At 43.3% G+C, this 14,363-nt stretch overlaps 1 protein-coding gene across 1 annotated transcript in view, besides 4 other annotated features; it reads left to right on the top strand.

The window, feature by feature from the left end:
• Positions 12,954-13,193: an enhancer, noted in NCBI's record as "active region_28138". NCBI's record gives its function as "activates an Ori minimal core promoter by ATAC-STARR-seq in GM12878 lymphoblastoid cells {active_cell/tissue: GM12878}" and the evidence as "EXISTENCE:reporter gene assay evidence [ECO:0000049][PMID:35858748]".
• Positions 12,954-13,311: a biological region, named in NCBI's record as "Sharpr-MPRA regulatory region 29".
• Positions 13,017-13,311: an enhancer, noted in NCBI's record as "tiled region #29; HepG2 Activating DNase unmatched - State 1:Tss, and K562 Activating DNase unmatched - State 1:Tss". NCBI's record gives its function as "activates a minimal TATA promoter and a strong SV40 promoter by Sharpr-MPRA in HepG2 and K562 cells {active_cell/tissue: HepG2 | K562}" and the evidence as "EXISTENCE:reporter gene assay evidence [ECO:0000049][PMID:27701403]".
• Positions 13,285-14,363, top strand: part of PUM3 (pumilio RNA binding family member 3) — a 39,944-nt gene continuing 38,865 nt past the window's right edge. Inside the window, exon 1 of the mRNA NM_014878.5 lies at positions 13,285-13,335. The gene's annotated coding sequence lies outside the window, so the exon portion shown is untranslated. The remainder of the gene's footprint in view (positions 13,336-14,363) is intronic.
• Positions 13,695-14,256: an enhancer, noted in NCBI's record as "H3K27ac hESC enhancer chr9:2843124-2843685 (GRCh37/hg19 assembly coordinates)". NCBI's record gives its function as "activates a minimal SCP1, AML or CMV promoter by ChIP-STARR-seq in primed H9 embryonic stem cells {active_cell/tissue: H9 hESC(primed)}" and the evidence as "EXISTENCE:reporter gene assay evidence [ECO:0000049][PMID:30033119]".

Genomic DNA, 14,363 nt, shown 5'->3' with positions numbered 1-14,363 from the left:
TTCAGGTGATGTTGATGTTAGTGGATTCCCGGGGTTTCTGACACACTGACCCTGGGTTTTCTTTCATATGTTGGTCAAGTTGCCCTTGACTCAACAGTTATGATTCTGATTCTGGCTCTGCATGTGGGCTCTGCTAGTTTTCCCCACCTTCTTTACTGCTTTTTACAACTTCCACTGCCCACTTCTTGGTCCAAGCTACCAGCACTTTTTCTCAGATTATTGAAAGAGTCTCTTAACTGGTCTACCTTCTTCCACATTTTCCCCGCTAAGTTCATTCCCCACATGGCAGCCAGAATGATACTGTAAAACCACAAGTTAGATCGTACCCACCCCTCTGCTCACAATCCCTTTCCTTCAGAGAAAAAACAGAAGTCTTCGCAATATCCAAGACACTGTAATCAGGCTCACAGATAACCCCCTAAACCCATCTCCTTCTCCACTTACCCTCACCAACAATACTGACCTTCTTGCTGTTCTTCAAACAAAGCATGGCTCTGCCTCAGGACATCTGCACTTGCTGTTCCCTCTGCCTAAAACACTGTTCCTCCAGTTACTAACATGGCGCATTCTGCATTCTCTTGCTTCTTTCAAGGGCCCAGAGACTGTGTGGCCCGTTCTTTATTTTTCTCCATAGTATTTATCACTATCTAAATTTTTATGTGCTTTACTTATTAATTTTTGTTGTTTTCTTCCTCTTGTTAGAACATAATCTCCATGAGTATAGAGATTGTCATCTTTGCTTCTTATTAAAGTTTCCCTAGTGTCTAAAAAAAAATGCCAGTCATGGAGCAATCAAATGCTTGTTAAATAAAAGACTCATATTTCCTGCCATGATGAGATCCCAATCTACCTGTTAGATGGACTCTGTTTTACTGTGCCTGTTGTGAGATCTGTCCCACCTGGACTCTCCTGGCCTGTGAGGGTCACTGGATGATTCTCAGGTATGTTCTGAGCTATGGCAGGTTTCTCTGCTGCTTATAGCATCAAAGCATCATTCCTGAGTTATAAACCTTAATGTTGAATGTCCTTCCTGAAAATAGCATAGGATGACTCAAAAAGTGGCTCTATTGATAACAAAGATACTTCTGTCAAAAATGAATGTACAAAGTTTACTAAATGAAATGTCAAAGTAAGAACAAGCAATATTTATAGATTTGTATATTATTTTTAAAGTGATTTTAAATGTGTCTGTGTCACTACATAAATTAATATTATAAGGAGACATATGCCTAGTACACTTACGTCTATAAAAATTTAGTTAACCAAATTGGCCGAAATATACTATTGGGGCTTCTTCAACTAATGGAAGAGAGGAGCTCTGTATATTCAAGCATATATAGTATTTGCTAAGACTCTCTCCCTCCCTCCTTCGCTCCCTCCCTGCCTCCCTTCCTTCCTTCTCCTCTCACCTCCCCTCCCTTCCCCTCTCCTCCCCTCCTTTCCTTTCATTCTTTGAGACAGGGTCTTGCACTGTTGCCCAGGCTGGAATGGAGTGGCACAATTATAGCTTAATGTAGCCTCAAACTGGGCTCAAGTGATCCTCCTGCCTCAGCTTCCCAAGAATCTGTGACTACTGGCATGCACCACCACGCCTGGATAATCTTTTAAAAATTTTTCGTAGAGATGGGTGGGGTCTCGCTATGTTGCCCAGGCTGGTCTTGAACTCCTGGCCTCAAGTGATTCTCCAACCTCAGCCTCCTGAACTGCCGGGATTACAGGCATGAGCCACAGCACCTGGCCTAGCCTCTCTTCCCTCTCTTCTTCCTCTGCCTTTCTACTCTTCACCTTTTCCTCCACTTCCCTTTTCTACTCTTCTCATCCTCCTCTTCTGTTTCATCTTCTTGACCTTTGTGCTTTGCTTTCTCTTCATCCTTTCTCATTATTTTCAAATATATACCTTTAAAAGATCTCCATTCTCCTTGGTCATATGTACCCATTCTTGTTCGCATGTCAATTTCTAGAGAGTAGAAAATAATTCAGAAGAAGAGTGGGGAAAATTAAATCTTCTTAGGTTGCTGAGAATGTCTAGGCACCTACACTGATGGACAAAGTCTGAGAATAGTCATGGGGAGGATGATTCCAGCCATAAACCTGGCAAAATATCACTCATTGCCCTCCCAGGTGTGGTGCTTCTCAGTACATAATTGCAAAAAAGCGGGGGTTTTTTAAGTATAGGGTATGTCTTAGTTATTCCTTCTGTTGCAGGTATGAATTTGCTGCAAGAATCAGCCTTTTTTTTTTTTTTCCTAAATTGAAAAGATTTGGCTAAGCTGCCACCCACTAGAGGTGGTGGAATATTTTCAGTAGTGTCTCTAGAAGTCCCTCCCTGTCTCATGCATCATGAAGAGTCCCACAGGGCTTTAGCTGCCAGAAAAAAAATCAAGGAACAGAGTCTTTAATCTTTAGTTCATTGTGATTGTCAAAGAAATGCTCATTCCCCAAGCCCTTTGGACCCTCAGAGGCATTCCCTTCTGTTCCACCTTGTGTTCCTCTACATTGTGGGAGTCCTGCCTCCCACCCCCCACTTCCACCTCCACTGCAGTCCCATCACCACCTGCAATGCTCCCTGACACCTGGAATGCTTTCCCTCTTGGATATCTCAGGTCCATTCTTCAAGGAGCCCGGCTTTCCTTTATCTTTCTTTTATATTCTTTTCTTTTAAAGTCTGTTCTGTCTTGCTGATGAGCCAAGGGGTGAAGAAAAGGGAAAATACCTCTCATTCTTTTTGTTACAGCTATGAGAATGAGACTGAATTAATGCCTCAGTATATTATTTGCTCATGCTTCTATTTTTTGATTATCAGACTTGGGGGAGATTTTCTCAAAAGCTCCTGCTGGAAATATTTGAACAAACTGTTAGAATGTACTTTTAATTTTTTTTCATTAATTCCTAGGTAATGTTTCTTGATTTCCATTATTTCTTATTTTTTGTTTCATCTCTATGAAAAGGACAGAATGGCTAAAACGAGCAAGTCTGGAGTTTGAGGTACAGTTGCGTGCCACTTAAAGACAAGGATACATTCTGAGAAAAGTGTTGTTAGAAATGTGTTTCGGCCGGCCACAGTGGCTCACGCCTGTAATCCCAGCACTTTGGGAGGCCGAGGCGGGAGGATCACGAGGTCAGGAGATCGAGACCATCCTGGCTAACATGGTGAAACCCCATCTCTACTAAAAATACAAAACATTAGTCGGGCGTGGTGGCGGGCGCCTATAGTCCCAGCTACTTGGGAGGCTGAGGCAGGAGAATGGCGTGAACCCGGGAGGCAGAGCTTGCAGTGAGCCTAGATCGCGCCACTGCACTCCAGCCTGGGCGACAGAGTGAGACTCTGTCTCAAAAAAAATAAAAAAAAGAAGAAGAAATGTGTTTCATCATCGTGTGGACATCACAGTGTGCACTTACACAAACCTACGTGGTACAGCCTACTATACACCTAAGCTATATGGTATGGCCTGTTGCTCCTAGGCTACACACCTGTACAGCATGTTATTGTGCTACATAACTGTAGGCAATTGCAACACAATGGTCAGTATATGTGTATTTAAACATATGTAAACAGAAAAGGTACAGTAAAAATATGATACAAAAGATAAAAAATAGTACTCCTGCCTAGGGCACTTACCATGAATTGAGTGCAAGACTGGAAATTGCTGTGGGTGAGTCATTGAGTGAGTGATGAGTGAATGGAAAGGCCTAGGACACTATGGTATACTGCTGTAGACTTTATAAGCACTGTACACTTAGGTTACATTAATTTTTTAAGTAATTGTGCTATGACATTATGGCTGCAATGACATCACTAGGTGATAGGAATTTTTAGCTCCATTATAATGTTGTAGAACCACTGTTGTATATGTGGACAGTTGTTGATTAAAATGGCATTATATCGCCCATGACTGTATGTTACACTACTATTCCATGAGTGTGTTTATTCCACCTTTCCCCAGATCCTTTTTTTAAAAAGATTGATCTTGTGAATACTTATTTTCCGTACTGTATTAAGAATAATGCGTGTGGGATAACATTTCTTTTGAGGCTAACTCCGAAGTCATTAAATGGCCAAAATCCCTGGTTGCCTTATAAGACAAGGGTCTTTAAGACCAATCCCTGAAAATATTCCTTTATACAAGCTCATAAAATCTGTTCTATCTTTTCACTCCCTACTATCAGCCCATTGGTCTGGTCTGCTGAGGAAACTGAAATAATCCACTGTTAATAATCCTGTAGTGGATCCTGCCGGTAGACTGTCCGAATCCCCACCCTGGCCTCTTCAGTACACGTTGTCTGGCCTTCCACTGCCAGCAGATGGATCTTTTTCTGAAAGTTTCTCTGATGCCACTAGATGCCACGTTGATGCTCATATAGCAGACCAGAAATATTAGGGAAATACTACCCCCACACCCACCCTCAGAAGCAGTCGTCAACCAATGACTGATGGGAGTTCATCTATGAATGCCCCAGCTTCTGGACCCCTTGGGTGGGCTATCTCTGAGGTATATGTACTACATTGGCTTCCAAAGTTCTCTAACAAGATGGATCTTCAGTTGCCCACAATCTTAAATTGTTTGACAATGAACACTTTTTTGGTTATCTTCTGTTCCCTGCCTCACTCCCCATTCCCATACAGACATTCCCGGACTAAGCCATTTGCACTTGAATCTTTGTTTTAGGGCCTTATTAAGACCTAAACTTCCCTCCTGCAGAAAGACAACACGAGGTCTCTTTCTGAAAGACAACTTCTGCCGTCTTCCCCCACCCAGAGCTACCCCAGATGCCTCTCCTGACTGCCAGGCCAATAAATGAGGTCAAATCCCAGAGAAATACCGGGCCTGATGAGGATACAGAGAGATTGTACCCTAAAGGACCTGCAACAATTACCTACAGCATTTACTTTCAAGAGTTGGGGAGTTCTCAGGGGCAGGACTATGAGAGTTCTTGACCAAAGGGCTGGAAGACAAAAGTGAACAAGCAAGAGTGCATTGACTTGGGGTCACTTTCTTGGGATACGGTTTTTAGCACCCTGGTAAGGCCCTAGGGATGGGACAAACACACTGCTATGTGGCTTTCCAAAGCCTAGTAAAAGCAGTGCCCAGTTGCTGAGCAAAGGTGAAATGCCTGAGTTGCCACAGCAGATGGTAAAAAAGATGGAAAAAAATAGATGGAAAATAAGATCAGAAACAGTTCACATTCCTTGGAATGAACAACGATACTCATTTACAGTTTTGCACCAGGGCTATGTTAGCTCGCCCACCCTCTGTCTTAATATAGTCCGAAGAGATCTGGACCATCTGGACATCCTGTAGAATATCACATTTGATCCATTACATCAATAAAATGAAGACATGGCTGCTATGCTAGGAATCTTGGTAAGAAACATGTGTTCCAGAGGGCAGGAGAGAAATCTTACAAAAATTCAGGCACAGGCCACTTTGGTGAAGCTTCCAGGAGTCAGATGAGAATTTACACAAAGTATAAACATTTTCACGTGCTAATACCCATCAGAAAGCATCCACTAAAGGAGAAACATCGAACAATTAAGTAGACAAAATATCGTGGCCAGTTGACATTCGTCAGTCTTCAGCATTGGGCATGATGGACACATGAATAGAGTGAACACAATGGCAGAGGTGAGGGCTACAAATGTGCCCAACAGCGTGAACTTATACTCACCAAGGCCAATCTAACTGCTGCTTCCTCTAAATGTAGAGTCTTCCAGCAACAGGAACAAATGCAGCACTCCTGAAATGGCCCTATTTCCTAAAGAGACCAACAAGCCACTCAGTGGCAACTTGACAACATTTGGGCTCCTTTTATTCTGGAAGGGCCAACAGTTTCCCCTCAGTGGGATAGTCTTATTCCAAATATGAGTTTGCCTTTCCCACCCACAGAGCCTCAGCCAGCATCAATATCCAGACGTTTATGCAGTGCATGATCCACAAGCATGTAAACCTATGTAACATAGCATCCAAACAGGGGCCACAACTCACAGCAAAGTGGGTGCAGAAGTGAGCCCATGGTCATGTGATTCCCAGATGACATCACAGATGCTCCATCAAGAGGCAACCAACCCACAATAGAACATTGCAGTGGCCTATCGAAGGCACAGCTGGAGTACCAGTTTACAGGCAATAGTCTACAAAAAGGAGGTGCTATCCTCCAGAATGCAGAATAAATAAATCAGAGATCTCCATAGAGTGCTATGCTCCTAATAAGAATACATGGGTCAAGGAACCAGGGGAAAGAAGCAGGAATCATCATTCTTACCATTATTCTCAATGGCCCTCTGGGGAAATGCATGTTTCCTGTCGCCTTAACTCTGGGCTCTGCAGGTTTAGAAGTCCTTGTCTTCAAAGGAGGCACACTCTTGCCAGGGGACAGAGCAAGAGTTTCATTGAACTACGGGTGTCTCCTGGACATTTTGGACTCCTTGTGTACAAGATTAACAGGTAAGAAGGGGCGTCTCCATCTGGGCAAGTGTGATTAACTCCGATAACTAGAGGAGATAGGACTGCTTTTGGTCAACTGAGACATGGAGGAATACATATAGAACCTAGGCGATCCACTTAGGTATTTCTCAGTTCTCCTTAGCCCCCACTGTAATGGTAAATGAACATAGGAAGCAACCCTTGGCTTAGAGGTTATGATTACTAGAGTCTCAGACCCTGTAAAACCAATGGTTTAAGTCACATGACCAGGTTAGTCATCAAGACCTGCCAAGCTAATAGCCAAGGATGAGGTGAATTTAGAATGGATAGTGCTGGAGTGAGATGATGAGTACTTGCTGCAGCCCCCAGGAGACTATACTTTGTCCCCCTGGTCTCTCTCTTCTAACATTCCCCTCCTGAGCAGAGGGCCATAGGAACAATGGAGGAGCCACTCCCCAAACACACATGGAGAAATAGCCCTGTGCTGTGTGAGGGGTAGACTCTGGCAGCCATGGAGTGAACTGCTCCAATCTCCTTTCAAGAGAGAACCGGCTGCGAGAGGTGTAGTTAGCTTATGCCTCCAGCTGCCACAACTTCAGCATCCACTGCAGCATTCATGCTGAGGCCATGCACTCCCTGGGTTGCTCCCAGCCAATGACTGAGCACAGCAGGGGTACTTGAGCTGGGCCTTTCCTACTCAATTTAGCTTTCCTTTAAGGAGAAATCTTTGCTCTGCAGTGCCATGCTGGCCTCGCCGAGGCTTTCTCAGAGCTTTACTACAGCCTGAAGACTTTCTACCACATCCTCCTTCCGCCTCTCTCTCGACACACGTCAGAGCTGTATCATGGTATCGGGTGCTCCCTATTTACTGCTATTTCCTCTCCCCTCAGCTTATTGTGAAGTTTTTCTCACAACATGTCTCTTGGCCTAATTCTATCTTGACATCTGCTTCCTGGAGAATTTAAATTGACATAATAGGTTTGAGCAAGTGGGTTAATTTATTTCTTCATCTTAAAAGGAAGAGGTAGGCTGGGCACAGCTGCTCATGCCCATTAATCCCAGCACTTTGGAAGACCGAGGTGGGAGGATCACTTGAGGTCAAGAGTTCAAGACCAGTCTGGGCAACATAGCAAAACCTGTCTCTCCAAAAAAGAAAAAAAAATAAAGGAAGAGAGGAATATTGGGTAGGTAAGTAGAGCTAGATCATTATTCTAAGTACCAACATGAAATTTCTATAGTTTTAAAAAGTGGGAGGAATAATTAGAAAATTCTTTTTTTTCTATTTTTAATTTTTTTATTATACTTTAAGTTCTAGGGTACATGTGCACAACGTGCAGGTTACATATGCATACATGTGCCATGTTGGTGTGCTGCACCCGTTAACTCATCATTTACATTAGGTGTATCTCCTAATGATATACCTCCCCCCTCCCCCCAGCCCATGACAGGCCCCAGTGTGTGATGCTCCCCACCCTGTGTCCAAGTGTTCTCATTGTTCAATTCCCATCTATGAGTGAGAACATGTGGTGTTTGGTTTTTCGTCCTTGAGATAGTTTGCTGAGAATGATGGTTTCCAGCTTCATCCATGTCCCTACCAAGGACATGAACTCATCCTTTTTTATGGCTGCATAGTATTCCGTGGTGTATATGTGCCACATTTGCTTAATCCAGTCTATCACTGATGGACATTTGGGTTGGTTCCAAGTCTTTGCTATTGTAAATAGTGCCGCAATAAACACACGTGTGCATGTGTCTTTACAGCAGCATGATTTATAATCCTTTGGGTATATGTCCAGTAATGGGATGGGTGGGTCAAATATTTCTAGTTCTAGGTCCTTGAGGAATTGCCACACTGTCTTCCACAATGGTTGAACTAGTTTACGGTCCCACCAGCAGTGTAAAAGTGTTCCTGTTTCTCCACATCCTCACCAGCACCTGTCGTTTCCTGACTTTTTAATGATCGCCATTCTAACTGGTGTGACATGGTATCTCATTGTGGTTTTGATTTGCAAGAAAATTATTCTTTATTCATATTTGAAACAAACAATTTTCTTATTTGTTCACCTAATAAAATATATGCTTGGTTATCTTTATTGCTCACAAATTAGGGAAATCACACGAAAAAACTAATTGATACTTTCCAAAGGAAATAACTTTTATCAAGCCTGAAAGCAGAATTTTAAAAACTTAAAATGCCAACGTATTAATCGTTCTTATCCTAGACAAAAAACTGAAGCTAGTATGTGTTGCTTGAGGAGTTTTGTTTGACAAAACCATAGTGCATTATAAATGCACTGTGTATAAGTGACAATTCTTGGGCTTTAAGTGATATTACCTACTTTTTATTTCATTTCTCCATCATGTGCTGACACAAGCTTTTATTAAGGTGAGACTACTACAATCAGATAAACTTACATCTTAGCCATGTAATTTTCTGCTGCTCCAAAGTTTGTCATCAAAGAAAGCAAAATAGGACAAGGTTAATACTGTGTTTACTAGACAGCAACTACAGCATTATGAATGTTCAATTAATGTTTAGACTACATTAGTGCACTTTGTAGCAAATGTACGATATTGGAAAACATAATGCACACTATTCAGAAGCAGTTCTTTTTCACTAAATAAAAATGTGTTGGCAACTGCTCCGTTTCCATGGATTTATGATTCTAATAGGTCCTGAAAATAAAGCCCAATCCTTGCCAAAATATCACTTATGCTTTATATCAGTAACATGCCCTCTATCTCTGCTTATGCATTTGAGAAACAGAAAAACAACGTAATTCGTTAAAAATCCACTAATTAGAACTCCAGAGAACTGATTTTGGGAAGGGGAAGATGTATGGGAGCTGACACCTAACCTATTTTATTTTTATGGAAAAAAGAAAATTACACAAAATTATGTGAAATTGAAAAAAGAAGCAAACATTTTCCAGAGTATGTTTGAAAGTGTATAGTTCAAATTTAAACCATTTTTTAACATCTAATGGTATTAAATCACTTTAGGAGAACTCAGTCAGCAAGAAAGATACAATTCTCTCCAATGTTCTACTTACAGAGAGAAGCATATTGTATATTTAATTCTTAAATTCTGGTGCCTGCAATACAAAGAGGAACCAGGAGATTTAACCCCTAGTTAACTAAAATATCAAATCAACAGGCCCGGGGCAGTGGCTCACACCTGTAATCCCAGCACTTTGGGAGGCCAAGGCAGGTGGATCACCTGAGGTCAGGAGTCCAAGACCATCCTGGCCAACACCGTCTCTACTAAAAATACAAAAATTAGCCGGGCCTGGTGGCGCACGCCTGTAGTCCCAGCTACTTGGGAGGCTGAGGCAGGAGAACTGCCTGAACCCGGGAGGCAGAGGTTGCAGTAAGCTGAGATCGTACCGCTGCACTCCAGCCTGGGTGACAGAACAAGACTCTGTCTCAAACAGACAAACAAAACTTGAACCCCATTCCTTAAATAACTGGGTCTTAACCTTAGCTGCATGTTAGCATGATCTAGGCATCAAATTCTCAATGCTCAGGTCCCATTCCAGACCAATTAAATCAGAACTACTGCTACTTAAAGAAACAAAAACAAAAACTCCACAGGTGATTCAATGCGCTGCCCAGATTGCTATCCACCACCTGGGATACTATAGTTATTTTAAGTTTTAAACCAGATTAGCTTAAGTCACAAATTAAATCTCTACTGCTGGATAAAAGCATATTTGCTAAGTGATCTTTAATTTTACCAGAGTACTAGAAAAAGAATGAAATCCAAATGCCTGGTTAACATTGTATCTGATGGTCTTTCAATTCTGGGGTGGCCGTGTAATCCAGTTCTTGGCACTGAAATAGAAGGGAGACTCCTGTTGGGTCTTTTCCTTCTGGGATAAAAGGACGGAGCCCCACTGGGAGGAAATAGTGGATTTCATTTCTTTCTGCACTTTCACTAGCCCTGAACTCTTAGATAAATATGGAAACTGAGGAGTTCATCTTGCAATCAAAAAGCAGTAAATGGGACAATAAAAAGTCAACGTTGAGGATGGTGGTAGAACAGAGACTGGAAGAGCGTGGGTCTTTGATGACATTGTTGTGTCATTGAACCACAACAACCAAGTACCTTCCAAATTTTTATGTTAAGAAAATGATTGCTTAAGCCACCATTAGCTGAACTTTCCGTTATGTGAAGTCAAACGTATTTCTTTTTTTCTTTTTTTTTTTTGAGGCAGAGTCTCACTCTGTTGCCCAGGCTGGAGTACAGTGGCACAATCTCCACTCACTGCACCTCCGCCTCTCCAGTTCAAGCGATTCTCCATGCTTCAGCCTCCAGAGTAGCAGGGAGTACAGGCATGCACCACCACACCTGGCTAATTTTTGTATTTTTGTAGAGATGGGGTTTGGCCATGTTAGCCAGGCTGGCCTCGAATTCCTGGCCTCAGGTGATCCACCTGCCTTGGCCTCCCAAACTGCTGGGATTACAGGTGTGAGCCACAGCGCCCGGCCCCAAAGTATTTCAAATGGGTACACCTTGGTTCTCTCTTAAGCTACAAATCACTCAACATTTACTACTGGCTAAGAACTTTAAGATATTATCACTTTTAAGCCTCACAGCAACTCCAGAAACAAGTGTTGTTATTCCCATTTTACATATGCAGAAACTGAGGCCCATACAAGTTGGCTATCTTGTCCTTGGCCATACAGAATTTAGATTGTAAGCCAGGTTCCTTTGATTCTAATCTCAATGCTCGTCATTGCATTGCTATAGTACTGTTATTAACCTCTTGGATGTGTGCAAGTCTAGTTGCTCTGATTAAATTGTGTATCACGCAAGAAGAGCATCTTAGGCTTGTAGGAGTACACCTAGTGGTCTACATTTAGATCATTAGATATTTGAAGAATTAATGGGTTTGCTTGACAAAAAAAAAAATTACAGGATAAGCTTTTTTTGTGCTGTTCTGCAAAACCACACGATGCTTTCAATTCACTCCAAAAAAAAAAAAAAAATCCAAATCAATCCACTTTCACAGAAGACTTGATAAAAAAGTTTTTAATAATAATCAAGGGCTTTGATATGTGATAACATTTTTTTTTTCCTCCCTGGTGAAAAGGCAAATGAATAGCAGGGTTTTGGTGCAGATGCTTAAGGCAACTGCATGGACCTATCTTCAAGGATATGGGGTGCTGCTGTCTGTCGAGTTGAAAACACAAACGTATCCCTTCCCAGGGTTGTGTGATAGGGTGTATTTTGCGATTTTTCTTTCTTTTTGGCCAGCATTTACTTGTCAGGTGTTTCAAGGTGTCTAATATCCCCACTACTATGCTATTTGCCCAAAAGGCACAGCTGATGGGCCTCCTGCAATTCCTGTTCCATATTCTCTTCTCTTAGCATTTACTGAATTATTGAAAGCAGTACGGAGGCAGCCACGTTGAGTTTAGAGTCAGGCTCACTGGACCAAAGCTACTATGTTTTGCCTTTCTCTGTAAAATGAGAAAAGACCTATTTAAAACGTTCTTATGAGATTTAAATGAGCTGAAATGTAAACTAGTAACAGTTAAGGTAGACGACAAGAACTTATCAAGTATCTATGTGCTGCATAGTGAGATAAGTGCCTGGAAAGTAATGATGGCCCCTGTCATCAAGAAGCATACAGTCTACTAAATTACCAGTTTCAACTCTAACTCCTTAGTGGCCAGAAAACGGAGTAAGTTGGAAGACAGTAAAATCTGAAGTCTGGCACCAGGGATCAAGTGCCAGTTCCTCAACTTTACAGATGCAGTGGGTTGAATAGTCTCCAAAAGATATGTCTATGTCCTAACTCCCAGGACATGTGAAAGTGACCTTATTTGGGAAAAGGGCCTTTGCAGATGTGATTAAGGACCTCCAGATGAGATGATCTTGGATTATCCCCGTGGACTCTAAATTCAATGTTCAGTGTCCTAAAAACACACAGAGAAGTGGCACAGGCACAGGAGAAGGCCATTAGAAGACAGGCCGAGATTGGAGTCATGCAACAAGAGGCCACGGACCGCCTGGAACCGTTAGAAGCTGAAGAAGCAAAGCATTCTCCCCTAGAGCCTTCAAAAGGTGCAGGGCTCTGCCAACAGCTTGATTTTGGAATTCTTGCCTCTAGAACAGTTAAAGAATAAAATTCTGTTGCTTGACACGAGCAAGTTTGTGGTGTCAGTTTCTTCATCTGGAAAATGGGGCATATATCCTAACCACAATCTTATTTCCTGAAGTATAAAATGGAATAACAGCAGTTTCCAGGCACGAGCAGACACTAAAAATGGCAAACATTTATTGAGAGCGTTCCATGCTAAGCGCTTTGCACGTATCACTTAATTATTTCTATTTTATTGATCAGGAAGCCAAAGCTCATAAAAACTGTAATTTTCCCAGAGCCACACAGCTAGCAAGTGAAAAAAACGGGATTACAATTCAAATCGACTCACAAGATACCCCTTTTATCCTCCACGCTGGACTGCTGAGGAAGTATGCAAATTAACACACTTTAGAAACTTTAGCTACTTCAATATTTGTTCAGGCTACGGGATGCAGGCCTCTTATTAACCGCGCCAGCCAGGTCTGTCCTTCAGCAGCCTGTTCTGCCTCGCAAGAGCTCTCCCTCTCTTTCCAGCACGGAAGCCACAGGGTTAATGACGTCATTTCCCGTGGCCGTTGTCGCGTCCTCCGCCCGACGGATTCTTGCAAGGGCCAAAATCCTCGCGCCTCAAGAGGAGGCATAACAGCAGCGGACCAATAGAAATTCCGAATTTTTGTATTCTCTGGGAAGCTCCACCTCTTAGTCCCTGATCCGCCGCGGAAGATGAAAAAAAGCGGCCCGGGGGCGGAGCAAGGCAAGGAAGCGGAAGCGGAGAGGCGGTCGGGATCCGCTGCGCGAGCTGTCTCGGTCCCACGTGTGCGGTGAGTGTGGCAGGCTCAGCGGTCGCTCTTGGGAGGGGTTCGCACCCTGCCGGGCGCTGGAAGTCGGGAAGGTCTCTCGGGGCTGTTGTCCACTGGGCAGTCTCCTCTGGCCTCTTTCTGGGCTAGGAGTTTGGGACTGACTGGAGCCTGGCAAGAAGGGCGGGACTGGCCGGGCGCGGTGGCTCACGCCTGTAATCCCAGCACTTTGGGAGGCCGAGGCGGGCGGATCACAAGGTCAGGAGATCGAGACCATCCTGGCTAACACGGTGAAACCCCGTCTCTACTAAAACTACAAAAAATTAGCCGGGCATGGTGGCGGGCGCCTGTGGTCCCAGCTACTTGGGAGGCTGAGGCAGGAGAATGGCGTGAACCCGGGAGGCGGAGCTTGCAGTGAGCCAAGATCGTGCCACTACACTCCAGCCTGGGAGACAGAGCAAGACTCCGTCTCAAAAAAAAAAAAAAAAAAAAAAAGAAGGGCGGGACTCCGACCTCTCTCCCACCACGTTGCCCTGCGTGCCGGGTTAGAGTGGACTAGCTTCACTCCGGAATCCCAGCCCGTGCTCGGCCTGATCAGCCTGTCTGTGCTACTTCACAAACCCCAACTCCAGTGCTAGGCGGTTTGCCTGAATGTACGCAGATTCTAAGTGCTGGGAGGAAACGAACTGGATGCTGAGTTGGCAGATAGTGGAGTCTGAAGAAGTGATCTTTAAACGGAGATTTGGAAGCTCAGGGAGTACTTCAAGCAGAGGCGATAATGGGCTAAGTTCCTGAGATGGGAGCTAGGAAGGAGTATAGTTAGAGTACAAGATAAAGTTAGCCGGATAGAGTGGAACTAGGTTCTGTAGGGCCTTGAAGGTCATGATGGGGAATTTTTTTTTCTGTACAATAGGAAAACATTTCCGTTCCTATTACCATGTGTAGAAAACATTGAAGACTTGTAAGCAAGTGAGAATCATGAATAGGCCCTGGTTCTCTTTAGAAAATGTATTACATTTGGAAGCTCAAGAGATTGTATTGGTAATAGTTTG

The sequence above is a fragment of the Homo sapiens genome, chromosome 9 (genome assembly GCF_000001405.40).
Source record: "Homo sapiens chromosome 9, GRCh38.p14 Primary Assembly".
NCBI lineage: Eukaryota > Metazoa > Chordata > Mammalia > Primates > Hominidae > Homo > Homo sapiens.
This window is presented reverse-complemented; position numbering and strand designations above follow the sequence as displayed.